The following is a 21,688-nucleotide window of genomic DNA, read 5'->3' as shown; positions in this document are numbered from 1 at the left end:
TCTCCTTTAGTTGCTATTTGCTTGATATATCTTTTTTCCATCCATTTTGCTTCTTATCTTCTGTAGCCTAATGTTTTAGATTTGTCTTTTTCAATCAACATATTTACTTTACTCATTTTGGCAAACAATTTTTATGACTTCCCTCAGATAGTAAAATATTGAAATTGGAGTACAAATAAGCCAAGAAAAGAGAGTGGTTCTCAGTCCTGCGACATTTGAATAGGTTAACACACCTAGAATGCATTCCACTCTTTACCTTGCTCTTTTCTTTTGCACTTACTGTTTGTACTAACTATTCTTTCTTGCCAGAAGTGCTTTTTGATGGTTGCTTTCTTTGTCCTCAGATATGAGCTTAAATGTCACCTTCTTAGTCATCTTCTTTGACTACATTATAGAAAATGGGTTTCCACATGTATTCTCTTAGTACCTCATTTTTTACCACCACCAATTACCTTCTGTATTAATTTCATCTATTCATTCATATAGCATTTAGAGTGAACACACTCCAAATTCCACAAAAGCAGGTCTTTTTATCTTTCTTGTTATCCATTGTAGTCATAGTACCTAGTAGAGATCTTGACACACAGTAGGCACTCAATAAATATTGGCTAAAAATGAAATAAGTCATATTTAAAGAAAAGATAACTATTTTAAAAAGAAGTCAATACCTTGGGAAATGCTGAAAATGAGAATCATAAGCACAGATTGGCAATGCTCCCCTCACCCAAAATTTTCCAGGATACAAGGTCAGTCTAGCCAACCGAGACTGAGAATATCGGCCCCAGGCAAATTTATTCTCCCTCTGCCACTTCCTTGCTTTGTGATCCTGAGCAAGTTAATTAACTCATCTGGGCTAGTTTCTTCATTATAGAGATAATAATAGAACTTCTTACAAGGATTTTTATAAAGATTAGATGAACTAATTCATATAAAGTACTTTAACAGTGGTTGGCACATAGGAAGTATTCCATAAGTCTTAGCTACTAATATTATTAAACTCATGTCTATTGAGAGATGGATACATTATCATGCTCTACTAGCATGATGATGTTAAAACATTCAATCAATCTAATTCCCACTTGCTTTGATTCCATATTCACAAAATAATTTCCCAGTGATTGTTTTGCTTCACTTTTTATCTGCAGGTAGGGGAAGAACTGTCTGGCCCCTTGCTTCAGATATATGACTGTCAGTTTCATTGTAAATTCACAAAGTAATATTATGATGAATTGACTCATAAATCTGTCCATAAGGGGAAATTATCTGGGCAGACATCTAAACATAGAATATGCTGGTTCCCTGTGTCAGTTATTTTTTGTTAACTAATTAATATGAGGCTTTATTCATAGCCACATGAACTTTAAACATAAGTAAATCCGAAATTATTAATCTGCTTTGGAGATGTTGAGAAAAGTAGGTTGAACTACAGATTGGTGACTTTCTGGACAATGAAAGTAACTGTCTTAGGAGAGAGTGGGCAGCCTTATCCTAGGCAGACAGAATATGATCTATTTACGCTGTCATATGCAGAGCTTTTTGCTCATTTTCAATTTTAGAATTTATGCTAGTATCTTTGTTTTATAGATGGTGATCAGAAAGTAAAATAAGTTGCCTAAGGTCTCAAGAGCATAAGTGGCAGAGCCTATATTCACACTCCACTCACCAATAGCAAAAGCTCCTCACTGTATAAAAATAGTTCCAGTAATAGTAAATAGAAGGTTGATCAGAAAAAAAACTCCCTTTAATGATAAGAAAGTAATTTAAAATATTTGTTTAATAGTGATAACTTTATTTTAAAAACCTTTGCAAAGTCAAAAGAACGTTTAAAAATATCCAGGTAGACTGAACAATACAAGTAGGCTGAAATGCCAGGAGAGAATTCTATAGTGAAGAATAATGCATAGTAATATCGACAAAAGGAAAGAACCACAAATAGATTTTTAAAATTGCTGAGCAATCTGGAAAACAGTAATAATAATAATGACAAATAAAGCTCAAGGACAGTGATAGAAAAAGTAAATATTTACTTGAATGTGATTTGGAAAGAAAAGCCAACATTTTTAAGAAGACTTATATAAAAAGGCTAACGCTAGAAATAAATTTGTCTGGGTGCGGTGGCTCATGCCTATAATCCCAGTACTTTGGGAGGCCGAGGCGGAGGGATTGCTTTGAGCTCAGGAGTTCGAGACCAGCTTGGGCAACATGGCAAAACCTCGTCTGTAAATACACACACACACACACACACACACACACACACACACACACACACACTATTCGGGTGTGGTGGTGCATGCCTGTGGTCCCAGCCACTTGGGAGGCTGAGGCTGGAGAATCACTTGAGCCCTGGAGGCAGAGGTTGCAGTGAGCCGAGATCGCACCATTGCACTGCAGCATGGGTGACAGTGAGACCCTGTCTCAAAATAAATAAATAAAATAAAATAAAAACAAATTTGAAGAAATTTTTATAGTACCCCTAAGACTTTTTTTTTCAATTCTACTACTGTTCTGCTTCAATTTTTTCCTTCACAGCACTATTGCTGTTTTTTTCTCTTCTAGTCATAGATCTTTTAGCAAATGCTAGAGGTGCAGTCAAAATAGTCCACCAATATCAACCCCTTTAGAAGACCATCTACTCTGCTCATTCCTTTATTTCTTACTACCTGTGTCCTTATATTACACTGTGTGCCTTTGTAGTTAAGATATTCATCAAATTTTTCCTTGTGAGCTTGTCTTTCAGCTCTGTAAAACAATTTTTTAACATAGCTTATTTTTATATTTTAGTGTCTTTTTATAGTTTAAATAGATACTTAAATAGAATTTTCCACAATAGGATTACTGCATTTCATGTAGAATTTTCAGTTTGTTTAAGACTAGATTCTTGGCCCTAATATGGTTAAAGAAATTGAATTATATACAAATGTTAAGGGAGAAAAACCTACCAATATGTGCTTAAGTAATTGCCAAGGAAGGCAAAAAAGTGAAGATCGTAGCAGTAGAAAGAGCATTTTCAAAAATACGGACTGGTACCTAGTTCTAAGACTTTGGGCAAATGTTTCAACAGTTTCTGAGTAGCAAAATGGTGTAAATAATGCTGAATTCATACATATGATCCCCTAGATGTACGAGAATTTTTGCTTTATAAACAAACATTTTTGAGTAGAGCAATTGTTTCTTACTACTTTTCTGATTTCCATTGTCTTAATCAGATTGTACCTCTTCTATAAAGACATATTTCCCCATAAGAATTCTCTTTTATGAAGTTTTTAGTGAATGTTCTTTTAAAAGGGTCCTACTCTACTGAGAACAATAGGAAAATGTGAAATTTAGATGGCACAGATTTAGAAGAAGTAATAAATATGGTCTCTAAGATACAGCCTAAGAAACAAAAAGCTCTATTTTCTACCATTATACCAATTAAATGACAAAGACAATCACTACAATATAGTAATTTTAGGTAATATTTCAAAAAGTGTATACACTGTATTAAACTTAGTCTATAAAAGTTTTTAAAATATGCTTTCCATAATACTACTAAATGGAATGCATTGCACTGATAAAAGTTATACAGTTCTGTAGGTAGTCTGTCAATGTAAGCAAATGACAAGTGATTCCAGTCCTAATGTCAGCCTGCTAATCACCACAGCTAATCAGACCTGGCATTCTCATGGTTCAGTGGCCAGCAATGGAGTAAATGGCCAGTCCTTGGCATTAAGGAGTTAAATACTCCTTAGTCCACACTTTGAAAAGTTTTGCTCCATGCCCTTTTAGACAATGACTAGCTGTTAAGCTCAAAACTAATTAACATTTCAAAAACTAGTGTTAATCAGTATTAGGAAGACTCTAGGGAAACACTTCCCTGCAGAGACCCTTTTCTTCCTTTGCTTTAGAGCAATAACTTGTAAAATATTACTTTAATTTTAAGTTGTGTTTGGCACATAGTAAACAAACCTGAAAAAAATGTAAACTAAAAGAAATGGAACCCAGGTTGGGTTCCTTATTTCTTATTCTCTTGAATAGAGGCAACCTCTATTTCCCTGATTTTACTTACCTATAGAAACCAATTCTAATAAGTACAATAATCTCGCTCTTAAATATGGGTCCATAAACTCATACCCATAGAATGTAAGAGTGGGTTCAGCTTAATTCCTTACAGTATTACTCTATCACTGCTGTTACCTGCAGATTTAGTAATAGGGCTGTAAGAATGTCAAGTTCTATAAGATTAATTTAATCTGACTTAAAAATTAGTATTTAGACTCAAAAACAGTTTTTGTGACCAAAATTCCTGCCCACTCCTTTATTTTACACATGCAAGAACTGAGGCCCAAGATCAGAGAAGTAGCTATGGATAGACATCAGTTTTGAAATACTGATGAAATACTCTCTACTCTCCTCAGTGATGAGTATTTGATCAGATGATAGTAATTGTGTGTTTAAAATTCTAGTTTCATTTAGTTGGGTATGTAAGTAGCAGTAAACCACTATTTTCCTAAGAATATATATGTAAAATATTTTTAAAGATTTTTTCTCCATAGACATGTTCAGAAGGTAACATGTTTCCTTGCTAGATGCAGTTTTGTGTAACACTTTTAATAAGGACTTGGTGGCATATTGGATTACGTATGGACTCTGGGCTTATGTTCTTGATCCTCCATGTGATAGCCATGTGTCCTTGCAGCTAAGGTCGTCCTGCTGTTTTCTTTTCACATCTGAAAAAAAGGTAGATAATAATAATACTTACCTGATGCTCACTGTGAGGCTGAAAGGAAATAGTATACATAGTCTTACTGGGCACATAATAAAAGTTTAATAAAGTACTAAAATAGATAAAAAGGTATTTAGATGGCAAGAAGGTCAGGACCAAGTGGAAAAATCAGCTCATATCATGGAACATTGAAGTACTATAAGATGCCTCTGAAACCATGGATACATTTGTGGGGGTACTTTTCCTTTTGTGGTAGTTTTATCAAAGAAGCTGCATGTGACAATATAGATATGAAGTGATGTGTTCCTTGTTACCTTGCCTTTAAAAAATGAAATAAGTGGTTCCAGAGAGTTCATGGGAGAAAAAATAATCTGAGAAAGGACCTCATACCTGTGAAGATTTCAAATAGTCACAGTGAGAGCGATGGAAGTCATCACCGACGTTTTTTTTTTTTTAACCTTACAGGTTGCATCTCACAAGCTGAGTAACAAATATAATCTTGAAGCCTATAATGATTTGAGGTTGTGGGGAAAACGATACTGAAGACTTCTGCTTTGGTTGGCACAATGTGCTCATCTAAAAGCCCTCTATGAATTGTCTTTCTTCCTGGCAGTCCAAGGCTCTGCATTGCCTTAATGTAACCTTGAGAGCTTTGCAATAGATTTTTACACTTAATGACATGCAGTCCAACCAGCTTACAAAAACATATGGTTTGGCCACCAAAGCTGAGACAACTTTTCTCCTAAATTGAACTCATTACTAACAAAGGAAGTAGTGTTCTATGGATTTAAGTGTAGCTAAGAAAAACTGAGATTTTCCTCAACCACTGTTTAAAGATATTTTGCCAGCTGTTTTAAACCCAGTCTTGAAATGATAAAGGTGGAAGAAGGAATAGTGACACTGCCCTTCATACCTCTTTTTCTTAATTCTAGTAATTATACTCTTGTACTTACAAAACAACAAAAATTGCAAGATGGTGCTCCGTTCTGTCTTCACGTTGAGTTTTTTGAGGCTTCAAACCCCACGGACCTCATCTACCCTGGAGGCTCCAGGGTCCAGTGTGTATGTGTGCCACACAGTAGGAACTCTGTAAATATTTATGGTTTCTGTTCACTTCATTCATTTATTCTATCTAAGAACATACAGGGTAGATCTGCTTCCCATGTGTGTAATAACTGGAAGGTCAGGAAAGACTGGGAATAGAGGAGGAAGACCGTCTTTCAACTTGAAAAGCTTACCTAATTCCAAAGTTTTGTGACTTTTGGGTAAACTTGCCTCCTGATGTTTAGGCAATAGGCAAAAACTGGCTAAGAAAGGATTATTTAGGAGGCAGAAAGGGCTGTAGAAAAATTCCAAAACCAAGAATTAAAGCATAAGAACCAATAGTAAAGAATGGATGATGGATGGCCTGTTGTATACAATTCTGTGTACATTTATTTAAAAAACATTCAAGTTGAATAAAATTGATTTTTTAAACACAAAAAGCAACTATGTATGTCAAGAATATCCATTGGGTGAAAGCAAATTATGAACATTTCTTGCAAAATTTATGGTGTGTATAATATCATAGGTTATTAGAAAGCATGGTTTTATATGTACAGGAAAATAACGAATGCACCAAATGTTCAATAATGTTTATCTCAATGGAAAGAGTTGATATCTAAGGGAGGAGGGACTTTTTCTTTCTTTCTTTCTTTTGTGAGATGCAATCTCTCTCTGTCACCAGGCTGGAGTATAGTGGTGCAATCTTGGCTCATTGCAACCTCTGCCTCCTGGGTTCAAGCAACTCTCCTGCCTCAGCCTCCCGAGTAGCTGGGATTACAGGCGCGTGCCACCACGCCCAGCTAATTTTTGTATTTTTAGTAGAGACGGGGTTTCACCATGTTGGCCAGGATGGTCTCGATCTCTTGACCTCATTATCTGCCCACCTCGGCCTCCCAATGTGCTGGGATTACAGGCATGAGCCACTGCGCCTGGCCCTGTTCTTCTTCTATATAATGCCTACTTATAATGTATGAAACTCAGCAGCAACTATGATTTACACTTCTAATAAGATAGTAGTGAAGAGCACAAACTCTGTGTTTGGATTTTTTGGGATCTTCTGATTACTAGTTAGTAGTTAATATCTGCATGCTTCTGTTTCCTCATCTGTAAAATGATGATAATAATAATTCTAACCTTATAGAATTTTGAAGGTTACATGGGATAAAATATATAAAATTTATCCAGTGGTGACTGGAAGGTAGGAATATTCAGTAAATATTCCTTCACCGGAATATTATTTATTATTAGTGATATCATTTTTGTTACTAATCAGGAAAAGCAGAAACATTTTAAAAGACTAAAAATACACTTGGAAAGGATCTGATTAAAAACATTAATTTTAAAATTACTTTGTGTAACGTCTATTAGATCTAGGTCTGCATAACCTCCCCCTAGTAAGAGCTTCCTTGACCATTTTTTCAAAGTGTGTCCCCTAGTTTTTCATCCCAACATCAGATTCATTTTCTTCTTTACGTGTCTCATTTGATCATTAACTACATATGTGTTTATTTATTTGTTCATCTGCTACCTTCTTTGGGAAAGTGTTAATCCCATCAGGCAGTAACAACATTGCACAGCAACACCATACAGCTCTGTATACTCAGTCTTAACACAGGGTCCAGCCATACTACATAGACCATTAATATTTGGGTCAATGCTCTTTGGCTTCATGTGACATGCACCCAGTTCCAATTTTCAAAAGAGAAGTATCTGTTGGCTTGGGCAACCAACCATGGAAAAATATGAGTATAGTAGGCTTCCCTGCAGTCTAGATCCAGGGACCCCACAGTGTCCATATGATGTCCCTCTTTCTCTTTACCTCTTTTCACCTTTTGAAGGCTTGTTGTGTTGCAGAGGCCATGATTGCTGACAAGCCTGAGACCACATCCCCATAGCTTGTCCAAAGAGAAATAGAGAACTTGACACTAGCCAATCCTGGGTCACATGTACAATTCTTGGTGGGAGTGGGAGTGTGCAGACTATTACCCCCTGAACCCAAGGAACCCAATGCTGTTAACAGATTTTTTTTAAAGGAATGCTAGAAAGAAAGGGAAAAAATTTACTTTCAATGAAGTCTGTTATGTAAGACAGTATAGTTGCTTTCAGACTTTATAAGCTGGAAGTACTTTCAAAGATTTTTCTTAAGAAATAAAATTTAAATATAAATCTCAGGCCACATTTATGTAATCTAAACAAAAGGTTTTATGCAGGTGGTAGAGATGAACATAAACCGTTGATATCGCCAGCCCACTTCTCCCTTGTGGCAGGAGAGCAGTTGCTGAATGCAGAAATTCAGAACTAATTGTTGGGGGCCAGGGTAATAGATCACGGGTAACTGGAACTGCTTCCAATGACATGCTAAAAGTCTTCTATACTTCCATCCTTAGGATCCAAGTCATGGAAGCATGCAAGAAAGAAAACTTAAAAACTGATTCTTCCATAGCAATTTCCAGGATTAAAGTGGCATAAAAACCTCATATGGCATTAAAAATCCAGTAACACAGAATTTTATCTTTATATTAGATTCTATTATATATTTATTACTTGGAAAAGAAGCTCAGGAAACATTCTCTAACCAAAATAATATTATAATTGAATCATGTTCAAAAGAAATGGGACGATATGATGCCCATCTTTCTTTTTCGTTTTGTTATTATTTTTACTCTTTATCCACTGCTGCTCCACCTACTATAAACATAAAATTAATGAGTCTGGATGACTGAATTGAGAAATTAGTGAGACTTAGCTTCTGAAATTTCTAGCAAAGGTTTTTCAGAATTAAAGATGGTTGTCTTTGAATGCCTAATGTTTATATTGAAATAACTTTAGCCTTTGATCTTACAAGGTTATATAAAAATTTGTGTGGTTTTGTACTTGATAACCACATATTATTTTTAAAAAGTAGTTATGAAAGGTGATGGTAGACTTGGTGGTGTTCCATGATCCATGAATGGACACACACAAGGTCGTTAACTGATGGAGGAGGTTCACCAAGGAAAATCTACTGCTTTGATAAATGCAGATGATGATTAAGTATGTGACATTGTTCCCATTTATTTGGTGCTGAATCAATCAGTGCCCAAGTCAGCCTGATGCAATGGGCTACTCTAGATGTGGTCTTCTGAATAAGGCAGAGTGTTAAAATGAGGTCATGACCACTTTTCATGCTACTTTTTTTGCTTGGCTACATTCCAGTTTCTCTAATTAAAGTCTGTCTTTCTGAGATCCCTTTACAGTTTTAATTGGGTATGTTATTTCTTCTGAATTGTATGGAATTGTTATTCACTGTCATAAGCAGTGGCTGTATTTCACCATAGAGGTGGTTGCATTTCATCATAGGGATCAAAGGAAGGGAAACATGAATATAACTTTTTTAGGAGCACTTTGCAATGCTTTGAGCTCTTTGGAAGAAAGCACTATAAAGGAAAATAATGGTGTTCTTAAAATGTAAAGTATTGCTATTATCATTTGTGAAAGAAAAGCTGGAGATTGAGAATGTGTTTTCTAGTGAAGTTCAGGAAAATATTATCTTACTGTTTCAGAAAAAGGACATAAATATGATTATTATTTGCAGATTTATGAAAAAAATGTTGTTGTTATCTCTAAGAAGTCTGTTTTTTATCTGTGTTTAGGGAAAATTGTTGGAACTCCTAAGCCTTTATACTAGTTTCTTAGTGCTGGGAAGCCTACTATTCCTGTCCCTTAGTTTATATGTTAGCTAAGGTTTTTTTACAGTTAATTTTGTCTTTCTTCTATACAGATTGACAATCTATATTGAACAAATATGCTCTTAAACAAATAATAAATTTTCACATCACACTGAGCTTTTGTTTAACCTATTTTAATTGCCTTAATTGATTAGCTGAATTACACCTCTTGGGGGGTGCACACCCACACACATATACATAAACACATACAAAACAACAGACTCTTTAGTACAATGTTGGATGGAGCAAAGTGTAAAATACCGGTTTCTACTCCAGATATAATAACCAATAAAGTTATTGACTATTTTCCGTGTATTTTTATTTATTATAATTAAGAAATGAGGATGATTTAAGAGAAAACAGTAAAACAGAATACATTAAAACTGAGGACAAAAAAGAAATATGACTAGATATATAGAGAGATGGAAACATGCTTACTATAAAAATTAATTCAATGATACATATTTGCTACCGGTAGGTCTGTGCATTTTAACAATTAACACAAGACACTTAAACAAACAAAGAAAAACTTAGTTGCATAGTTCACTTTATCACTAAGATAAACACAAATTGCTCAGGAATATAGAACTATTCCTGTTCCTGAAATTATTGGGGATTTTGTTTTTCTCCTTGGCATTCCCACAAAGAAAACACTGTACAATATAAGAACAGCCTCAATAACATCCTTATAGGAGACAGGATGATTTTCTGAGGGTTGTTCATTGCAAAGACCTTAAAAATAAACGTACAATATTGCACAGGAACACAATCCAGTAGAAGACTTTTGGCTTTTGCTACCCAGATAGCACATAGTATAACTCACTTTTGTGCCACACTTGTCTGATGGCTAAGTTCATAATTGTCACTTTACCATACTATACTGGCCAATATGGCCGCATGGAACTCAGCATAATGCTGGTTATTCAATAACATGAGAATAATGACACATGACAGAGCCATCACACCATATAAATTGCATGAATTTATATATACAAAAGTTCACATATAAATACCCAGTAAGAAAGAATACCCAACACATTTCTATCTCTACATCCTGTTTTATTTTTCTTTGTGACACGTCATTCTTACAACTCCTTGAAAAACACGTGTGCATACACACACACATACACACGCATACACATACATCTCAGGAACATGGAATTAGATTTATCATAATCCTTGGTTCTTAACATACTACCGTCTTCGGTCCTTGCATGATCCTCATTTTCATGCATTAATTCAATTATTTGATCAAGACATAATCAACACCCCTAAATGCAATATCCAACCCTTACATCTAAAACAATAAAAATAAGCTCCACTAATGTGTTCTTTCTCTTTCTATCCTCTTGCTTTCCTCAGAGACAGCTAAACACCATTCTAAACTCTGTGTATATTATCTTCTGTTTGAACACACACACACATGCACATGCTCAATGATTTTTAAATTATTTTTTAACTTTATAACAAGTCTTTATGATGAATGACATATTCTGAGGCCCACTTCTTGTGCTCAAGTCCAATCTATCCATGTTGTTGCATGTTATTGTTGTAGTTATTTGCTTCCTGCACTGCATAATATCCCATAGGGTCAATATCCCAAGTTCGTTTTTACTATTTGCTACCTATAGTAGGTTCCAATCTTCTACTATTAGCAGTGGTGTCGTGTCTACTTTTGTACACATTTCCTGGTGCAAATGTGCAAAGGTTTCTCTTGAGTTATGTACCTATGAATAGAAATGCTGGGTTACAGGTTATGTTCAAATTACAAGTCAAAAACAAATGGTCATACAACTTTCACTTCTCCCAGCCATATTCAAGATATCTTGTTGGCCTATCATCTCTAATATTTCCGTAAGACTTCTTAACATTTGCCAAACAAATGAGTATTAAATGGTATTTACTTTTGGTGGCATTTCATTATTTATTTATTATTTATTTCCTTCCATTAGAATATAATCCTCATAAATCCTGGTAGTTTGTCTTTTTTGTTATTTTATTCTCAGAACCTATTATAGTGTCTGATACCTAAGACATGTTCAATCAATTTTTAAATGAACTAATATGAAATTATGCATAGTTGATTATAAATTGATGTTGGTTCTATATTTATATTTGACAAAATATACATATAATTAAAACATATAGTAAATTCCTAAAAATAAATGTTTATGATAAAAGAAATCACAGTCCATTTTTTAAATTTCATAAATATTTATATATATATATATATATATATATATATATATATATATAAATGTGTGTCAATTGTTTTAACATCTTTAGCCTGCTTACTCAACTTCTTTGTGCATTTCCCTGGACAGAAAAACTATGAGACCATTTAAATTAAAAGTGCTTAGTGATACTGCTAAAACTAAGGAGAAAATATTTCCACTAATACATCCTCAAAAGTTGCCACAAAACACACACACCCACAATATCAGTAAAGAAGGCACTAGATTACGGTTGGTTCTCCAAAGACCTAGAATATCTGCCAATCATTAACACAAACTGTTTTAATACTTGCCTACATAATTATTCAAAGACATCTCAGAGTTTTACAGCACTCATTTATCATTGTGGCTGTAAGTTTATATCAAAAATAATTAATTCTTTATAACTCTTACAAAATAACTTTTCAGTTCTTTTTTTTTCTTTTATTATTATACTTTAAGTTTTAGGGTACATGTGCACATTGTGCAGGTTAGTTACATATTTGATTCAGTTAATACTAAATGAAATGTTGCTGAGAAAATTTAAGTGAGAGATTTGAAAAGACATTTTCTAAGGCAGTGATTTTCAAAGTGTGGTTTGGGGAACTATAGAATTTTTCATACCCTTTTTAGAGATTCACAAGGTCTGCCCTCTTCCAACTATATATCCATGTAAGGCCAGGTTGTTTTCTTATGCTTTATCCAAAGTAACATATTGCAACAGATTAAATGCTGAAGCAGATTAAGAATTTAACTATCCTCTATAATCCAGACATAAAAAAGATTTGTAATAATATAAAGTGATGCTACTCTTCTCAATTTTTTTGTTTTGGAAAATATAAATATTTGTATAAACTTATTTTGCTAAGTTTTAATGGATTTCTTTTTGTTTTAAGATAAATTAATAAATATTTTCAAAACAGTTCAGTTTTAATTTCTTTTTTATTTTTTTATGATACTTTAAGTTTTAGGGTACATGTGCACAATGTGCAGGTTTGTTACATATGTATACATGTGCCATGTTGGTGTGCTGCACCCATTAACTCGTCATTTACATTAGGTATATCTCCTAATGCTATACCTCCCCGCTACCCCCACTCCACAACAGGCCCTGGTGTGTGATGTTCCCCTTCCTGTGTCCAAGTGTTCTCCTTGTTCAGTTCCCACCTATGAGTGAGAACATGTGGTGTTTGGATTTTTGTCCTTGTGATAGTTTGCTGAGAATAATGGTTTCCAGTTTCATCCATGTCCCTACAAAGGACATGAACTCATCCTTTTTTATGGCTGCATAGCATTCCATGGTGTATATGTGCCACATTTTCTTAATCCAGTCTATCATTGTTGGCATTTGGGTTGGTTCCAAGTCTTTGCTATTGTGAATAGTGCCACAATAAACATACGTGTGCGTTTGTCTTTATGGCAGCATGATTTATAATCCTTTGGGTATATATCCAGTAATGGGATGGCTGGGTCAAATGGTATTTCTGGTTCTAGATCCCTGAGGAATCACCACACTTACTTCCACAATGGTTGAACTAGTTTACAGTCCCACCAACAGTGTAAAAGTGTTCCTGTTTCTCCACATCCTCTCCAGCACCTGTTGTTTCCTGACTTTTTAATGATCGCCATTCTAACTGGTGTGAGATGGTATCTCATTGTGGTTTTGATTTGCATTTCTCTGATGGCCAGTGATGATGAGCATATTTTCATGTGTCTTTTGGCTGCATAAATGTCTTCTTTTGAGAAGTGTCTATTCATCTCCTTCGCCCACTTTTTGATGGGGTTGTTTGTTTTTTTCTTGTAAATTTGTTTGAGTTCTTTGTAGATTCTGGATATTAGCACTTTGTCAGAGGAGTAGATTGCAAAACTTTTCTCCCATTCTGTAGGTTGCTTGTTCACTCTGATGGTAGTTTTCCTTTGCTGTGCAGAAGCTCTTTAGTTTAATTAGATCCCATTTGTCAATTTTGGCTTTTGTTGCCATTGCTTTGGTGTTTTAGACATGAAGTATTTGCCCATGCCTATGTCCTGAATGGTATTGCCTAGGTTTTCTTCTAGGGTTTTTATGGTTTTAGGTCTAACATTTAACTCTTTAATCCATCTTGAATTAATTTTTGTATAAGGTGTAAGGAAGGCATCCAGTTTCAGCTCTCTACATATGGCTAGCCAGTTTTCCCAGCGCCATTTGTTAAATAGGGAATCCTTTCCCCATTTCTTGTTTTTCTCAGGTTTGTCAAAGATCAGATAGTTGTAGATGTGTGGCATTATTTCTGAGGGCTCTGTTTTGTTCCATTGGTCTATATCTCTGCTTTGGTACCAGTACCATGCTGTTTTGGTTACCGTAGCCTTGTATTGTAGTTTGAAGTCAGGTAGCGTGATGCCTCCAGCTTTGTTCTTTTGGCTTAGGTTTGACTTGGTGATGCGGGCTCTTTTTTGGTTCCATATGAACTTTAAAGTAGTTTTTTCCAATTCTGTGAAGAAAGTCGTTGGTAGCTTGATGGAGATGGCACTGAATCTATAAATTACCTTGGGCAGTATGGCCATTTTCATGATATTGATTCTTTCTACCCATGAGCATGGAATGTTCTTCCATTTGTTTGTGTCCTCTTTTATTTTGTTGAGCAGTGGTTTGTAGTTCTCCTTGAAGAGGTCCTTCACATCCCTTGTAAATTGGATTCCTAGGTATTTTATTCTCTTTGAAGCAATTGTGAATGGGAGTTCACTCATGATTTGGCTCTGTTTGTCTGTTATTGGTGTATAAGAATGCTTGTGATTTTTGCACATTGATTTGGTATCCTGAGACTTTGCTGAAGTTGCTTATCAGCTTAAGGAGATTTTGGGCTGAGACAATGGGGTTTTCTAGATATACAATCATGTCATCTGCAAACAGGGACAACTTGACTTCCTCTTTTCCTAATTGAATACCCTTTATTTCCTTCTCCTGCCTGACTGCCCTGGCTAGAACTTCCAACACTATGTTGAATAGGAGTGGTGAGAGAGGGCATCCCTGTCTTGTGTCAGTTTTCAAAAGGAATGCTTCCAGTTTTTGCCCATTCAGTATGATATTGGCTGTGGGTTTGTCATAAATAGCTCTTATTATTTTGAGATATGTCCCCAATAGTAGACATGACTCACCTAAGCAAAAGCTCTTTGCAAGTCTCCATATTTTTAAAGAATATAGACAAGTCCCTAAAATGGAAATGTTTGAGAGCTGCTGCTTTTGGGGAACACATGTTTTTAATAGATAATAATAGATACAAAGAGGTCTATAAGATGTCATAAAAATCGATACAAGTAATTCTGCTTATCCTTAAAAGATTCACTGATATATTTATTCTTTCATCCAAAATTAAAGAGCTCATCCTGTGTGTCAGTCTCAGTGGCTTGGTGCTAAGCAGTCGAAATACAATGGACAATTAAATATGTAATCATTTCCCTTGTAGAGTACCATTGGCCTAAGCTAGCCCTTACAAAGCAGTATGATAGCCATGGGATCAAATAAGAAGAGTTTTAATTTGCCAATATTGTTTAAATTATATTTTGAATTCCTGGTGTTATGGAAAGACATAGTTACTGAATAATATTGGACAGATAAACATACCTTTTACATAATATATGTTTACGTTCCTCTCTTTACACATAATCAAACAAATGTTTTTTAAAGTTTTTTAAAAAATCAGAGACATGAATCTGTTTAAAAGCAATTATTTATATGTAATGCCTTAAAATAAGTAGAAGTGGAAAGGCACATAATTATTTTAGGAAAATATTTCAGAAAATCACAAATAACAAATAATATGCAAAAATTACCATTATGATTAGAAGTTTAATGAAAACCTTTTCTGCATTAGATATAGAAGCAAATACACTATTACTTCTCATTTATTGCTCCATATTTTTGACTTATAATAGCTTAGTTCCCTAAAAATAGAATATTTAAAAATACAAATGTGATAACATGATGTCCTAGCCTACCTACTGAGCTGTAACTGAATCAAAATAGATTTTTTTGGCCAAAGGTAGTCTTAAAATAAATAAACATATAAAATATTTCCAAGATATTTCTGAAGGTAGAAAACAAAACACTAAATCAGAGAAGAAAAAAGAATATATAATGAAAACAAATATATTGACTGGAAAAAAATTCACTTATTTACATTCTTTGATTGTTAATTAAAATCTACATAGCAAGCTTCATAAGCCTGAGAAGAAGATTCTCATCATATTCTCTCATCATGTCTCTATATTACTGCAGATTCCTTAATCTACAGTGAAATGCATGTTTGCTATAAATCGAAAGGGTTTTACGATCCTGAGGTGAAACCAGAGGAGGCTGTAATACTCACTTCATTACCCTGTTGCCATCTTGGATTTTTCATGCTGTTTTATATATTGACTTAGTGCATTTTTACCCTGTTGATATAGGCTTCTTATACCAAATGCTTCTCCACATTCTGGTTAGCTATCCTCCTAGGTATTTTTAACTGGATGTAAAGGAAGGGCATTGCAATCCATTGTCTAATTATAATTTCTTTTATGACTGACATCTTTCACGTGGTAAGAGAGTGTAACCACAGGCTTACCATTAATGGCCCTTAAATCATCTGTACCCCAAAGAGGAAAAACTTGTACTCAGCATTATGTTTGGAACACAAAAGTGTGGTTTTATGCATTTGAAACCATATTGGCAGGTTCATGCTATTTTATTATGTACTTGGCTTTCTATCTTGTTCATTGTGGTGATCTGCTTGTTCCATGATGTCCACCCCCATCCTGTCTGGCCCAGTAGCTGAGCCAAGCACCATGGGCACCCATGGGGTGAACTTGGCAGCTGTGAAACCCAGATGCTGAGTTCCAGTATGTAATTTTCCAGCAACAGCATCTGGGTATTTGGTTGGCCTTTTATCTGGCTTATGTTGTCTGTCAGAGTGTAGAAAGTCTGTGAACCTGGCACAGGATTCTTCTCCTTGTCTGTGGGAATAACTTGCCCATAAAAAATGTCATTTCCTATTTATTCTCATTTGGTGTTGTACAGTTATCCTCAGCAATACATCTGGATAAAGAACCAGAGTGAAATTCCTTGGAAGTCACCTTACACATTAACCCTTTTCATGTCTTTCCCCTCTGACTTCCCTGCCCAATCACATACTCTGTATTTTCTGCTTACATTCTGTGGTCGTATGTATACTCTTGTCCCCATTTCCGCTGTGAATCAGAAAGTGTAATAAAATGATTCAGTGGCTGGCACATGTGTGCAGGAGGCATTTATGTGATTGGACCCCTAGGGCTCTATGGCTCCTTTTGGTTTCAAGTTCTAATTTTAGAACCCAACTATCAAAATACAGTTCATATCTCTTATACCATATTCATTGTTTGAATCAAAGAACAAGGTTATTAAAGTTAAAATAGGGTTGGTCTTTTCATCAGAATATACTGTCTGTAATACTCTACTTCAGCAAATACAGAATACCTTTTCATTTTATGTCTCTTCAAAACAAGATAACCTGATTTTAAAAAGATTGTTTTTCTTCTTTTTCCTCTTTCCTGGTTTTAATCTCAGGGAATTGAAAAAAAAAAAAGAAAGAAAGAAACAACTCTCCCTTTTCCTAATGACTTAATGGATTATGTATAGTTCATTGGTAACACAATTTCTTTCCACATAAAATATTCACATAGTTGTATTTTTAAACCAATAAAATGAATAATGAGTTCAAAATAATAATTACCATAAGAAAATGTGGTAAATTTATTAAAGTTGGATGCTAGAACAACCATTCTGAGATTGGGAAAACTGGATTTGATTTATTTTCTCTATAATCTAACCTAAGAAAAAAAAATAATGTAGGCACACCGTTGTCCTTGATGTGAAAGCATAACTCCCTATACAGTAAGATATGTGACATCTTTCCTACAGACAAGTGCTTACAATCCTGTTCATTAATTTTATCACTAACATAAACTTTTAATATGCATATGATCAGGATATAGGACTTCCAGGGCAGCTTAAAGTGACTGTAACCTGTAATTACTGTTCCTGTACTTGATTATAATAATCTGATTGCAATTATTCAGTGATTTTAATACAAGCCTCAAGCTACATAACAATAAATCAAGAGCAGTGATTGGGAACATGTTTCTGTTTGGCTGTGAAATGATGTTTTAATCCATAGTGATTCACAGATCTGACTATAGTTTTGTTCAGGTAATTAAAGCACATTTATATTGTCAGGTAAAATAACCTTATTTTGAAGTAGATTAATTAATGCAAAAAATCCATATAAGTAAAAATATATCATGATAATACATTCTTTAAGAAAATGTAATAAAGCAAAGATTCTTATGGTTGGGAAAATTGACCTTTATGACCATCTATCCAAAAATTGCAAATGGAGGTGAAAGAGGAGAAGAGGTGGAGCCAGCCAAAAGACGTATCTATTACAGCACATTAATGCTACCCCAAGTATTTCTACTGAATATGGAGCTTGAAAGGCTCAAAGGCCAAATGAATAATGTATAATTTATTCTGTAGAAAAAAAATGTTTATGAATACCAATATTTAAGGGAAATATTTGGTAAATGAATAATTCCAAACTGTAGGAGGCAAGTGTAAGGGGCAAGGACAGAAATGCTCCGTTGTCAAATATTTTCAAGGAAGCTTCTCTAGAAAAGACGAAATCTTTGGAGATAATAAAAATATATTGCCTATGAGATCTGTGACATTACGCTGGTTTTTATTTTGATGTTTGTTTCATTTCCTTTTCCTTTTAAAATTAAAATTAGGAAGCAGTAAACCTTGATTTTAAAGCAAGAAATGTAGAACACCAAATAGTGCTCCCAGACAGTTAAATTTAATCTAATGGTAAAGCAGTAGTTTGAAATGAGAGATATACAGTGCTACGAGAGAGAGAATAGTTTTAAGAAACTGCCTTAAACTAGACTGTCAGAATTACTGGACTGCCTGAAGGGGTGGAAGAGGCAGACCCAATAGACTTCCTTGAAAAATGGATCCCTAAGGCTCTTCAACTCAATCTAACAAGCGACCCAATTTTCTTCTAGAGGTGCTTAAGAATTCCAGGAAACAAAGGAATAAGGAGACAAAGCATAATCCTGACTTTTAAAGTCCCCAATTGGAGAAATAAACAGTGAATTATCATCTCTACGTGTGACAAATGAGGTGCACATTATGAAAAACACAAAGTACTTTTCCCTTCTGATACTAAACCCACGTTCAAATGAAGGACCAGGAAAATACCTTTCATGCTGGCTGATGAAAAGCTGTATTACAAGGAGGTAAATGAGGGTAAAAGGTACTTCTTTTGGATTAAATATAACATTAAAAGCATAAAGTCTGGTCAGTAGAGCAAGCAATCTGTTCAAGACTAAGTTTCCAAGGATAACTCAGGAATCAAGGGAACATTTCTAAACAACTGACCATGATCAATTGCAAGTGATTTTTTCATAGTATAGGAGGAATTTGGTAAAAGATCACCAGAGGCAGTTGGCAACATTTTTGAACCACATTCCCAAGTGAATTTATTTCCTTTTCTTTTGTAAGTGATCTTTAAAAAATATGCTTTACCAGCCTTTTAGTTTTGGTCTTAGTATCAAATCATCTCTATCTTTTTGCTAAAATGATTTATGGCATGGGTTTTTATCAATTAAATTCTTAGGGTTATATTTCTTGCCTGGTTTTCCAAATGGGAAGGGGGAGTCAGAAGAGAAACAAAAAATACACTTTATTGTGTAAACTATGTTCTTTACAGCTGAAAAAAAAAACTCACATTTTTTATAGGACTGTTAAAGCAATGAAAAAAACATAAATTTTAAAAATGTAAAAAAATTTTTTGAAAATGATTATATAAGCTTGATGTTAAATAGAAATCTCTCTATGTTTATTCCTTAACATATTCAATTTCAAAAAACTACGTGTCTACATAATTAGAAGTCCTGTAGGGAGGCATTCTTGATCTAATAAAGTTTACCTAGAGATGAAAGTCTCAAGCCTGCTGTTCATTGCTGAGCCATGAGGATCCTATTCGTGGACTCCATGTTCACAGGAAAATGCAAGAATTTCTTCAATTTGTGGGCCTTCGCTTTTCATTCCTAAATATGACTCAAGTCTACTTCCTACTAACCTACTAGATAAATTACTCCAAAATTATAAAAATTTGGTACTGATAAGTAAAAATAGTCTAATTATGGAGTCTTCTGGGAAGTTAATTCTGAATTCTACTAAGTGTAGCTGCCTACAGCACATGGCAAAACTGCAAAGCTCATGCTGTGAATTTGCATGTATAGATGGCTCTGGGATTCCTGTAATTCTCTGCAAAGATGTTTTGTTATCAGTGAATCATCAATATTTTCAAATTAGGCATGGTTTCTAACAAATAGGTTTTTTTCTTTTTTTACTTTTTAACTATAACCCTTTTTGGTTTAGTTACATCGTCATCTAATTGATTTATTGTCCATTGTTTGGTTTACTCAGAGGTTTATAGTGATATATTTACACTTACTGCATTTTCATACAAATTTTTCTAAAAGCTCTATTTTGAGACTTATAGGCATTATAATACACATACATATCATTCATCCCTTAATTTTTCTTACTACTTATTCTAAATGTGAGGATCAATATTTTTATTTATGAGACTTTGCTAGTTAAATCATTGTCTTAAAATCTTAGTTCATTTTTTCTTTCTAAGACCACTGTATACAACAAACTATTTTCCTAAAGACAACTCTAAAACAATGCCTTTGAAAATGATATTAAGGAAGGAATAAGTAACTGTAAGCTGAAATATAGCAAATTATACAGTTAGTAAATTTGTATAAAAATCTCTTATGCTGCTACTTGAAAAATCATAAAATTTTTAAATTATCTCCTCAAAAATGAAAAAGGATCACATCCTATGAATGTATAATTTCTTCTAAGTATTAGCGATTTTAGAGTGAAGAGTCTAAATCTATGTTTGTTAAGCTGACATACGATTGAAATCCAATAACACCCTCCAGTGGAAAAAGAGCCATAAAGTGTTGAGTAACATCTCAGTTACTGCCCCTTTAGCCAAACATCCAAAGGCATTTGCACAAACTGTAACATTTTGTATCATGTGGCTATGTCACTGAATGGGCCTAGTATCAGATCTCATCCAAATGCAGCCCAAATGCCAGACATGAGGGAGAAAAAAGCATATCAAGTAACCACAAAAAAAAAAAAAAAATTCTACTGGCCGGGCGCGGTGGCTCACGCCTGTAATCCCAGCACTTTGGGAAGCCGAGATGGGCGGATCACGAGATCAGTAGAGACCATCCTGGCTAACACGGTGAAACCCTGTCTCTACTGAAAATACAAAAAAATTAGCCAGGCGTAGTGGCGGGCGCCTGTAGTCCCAGCTACTCCAGAGGCTGAGGAGGAGAATGGCTGGCGTGAACCAGGGAGGCGGAGCTTGCCGTGAGCCGAGATCGCGCCACTGCACTCCAGCCTGGGCGGCTGAGCTAGACTCCGTCTCAAAAAAAAAAAAAAAAAAAAAAAATTCTAGTATACATCATTGTAAATGATTGAGTTAATCAGACCTTTCTTTCATGGGAGTATAAAACTGAGATTCACAGAGAGGGAGTAGAAATTTTAAAAAGAAAACTCTGTTTAGAGAAGTGAGGAAGAAGAAGCCGTGAGGTAGAAGTCAAGAGCTAGGAAAGAAAATGGAGAGAGCAGCTGGTAGCAGAGTAGGAGCTGAACCGGGCCATGGAGAAGGAACTATCCGGAGTAGGTGAGTGGCTGGTATGTTCACCTCCCCAGAGTAGGGCTCAGTGGAGGCCCAGTCCTGAGAGTTTGCCCAATTGAGCTGCCAGTTTCCTGAATGATGTTGCAGTTCTTCATAAAGCCTGATTGATAAAGTGCCGAAGCCGTTTTCATTATTTCTTTTCTCTCTGTCAATCCTTAACATAAATCTTGACCATCTGCAGTAATGTGAGAAAGGTCCAAGAATAATGGAGAGGTCTGGGAAGAGGGAAAAGAGAGAGAA

At 34.8% G+C, this 21,688-nt stretch overlaps 1 long non-coding RNA gene across 3 annotated transcripts in view, besides 1 other annotated feature; it reads left to right on the top strand.

Annotated features, from left to right (window-relative positions):
- LOC105379082 (uncharacterized) overlaps nucleotides 1-21,688 on the top strand; it is a 135,090-nt gene that overhangs the window by 90,310 nt on the left and 23,092 nt on the right. The window lies entirely within an intron of this gene.
- Nucleotides 2,600-5,779: an enhancer, noted in NCBI's record as "VISTA enhancer hs1577". NCBI's record gives its function as "enhancer in: midbrain (mesencephalon)[6/11] | forebrain[10/11]" and the evidence as "EXISTENCE:transgenic organism evidence [ECO:0001131][PMID:17130149]".

The sequence above is a fragment of the Homo sapiens genome, chromosome 5, assembly GCF_000001405.40.
Source record: "Homo sapiens chromosome 5, GRCh38.p14 Primary Assembly".
Taxonomy (NCBI): Eukaryota; Metazoa; Chordata; class Mammalia; order Primates; family Hominidae; genus Homo; species Homo sapiens.
This window is presented reverse-complemented; position numbering and strand designations above follow the sequence as displayed.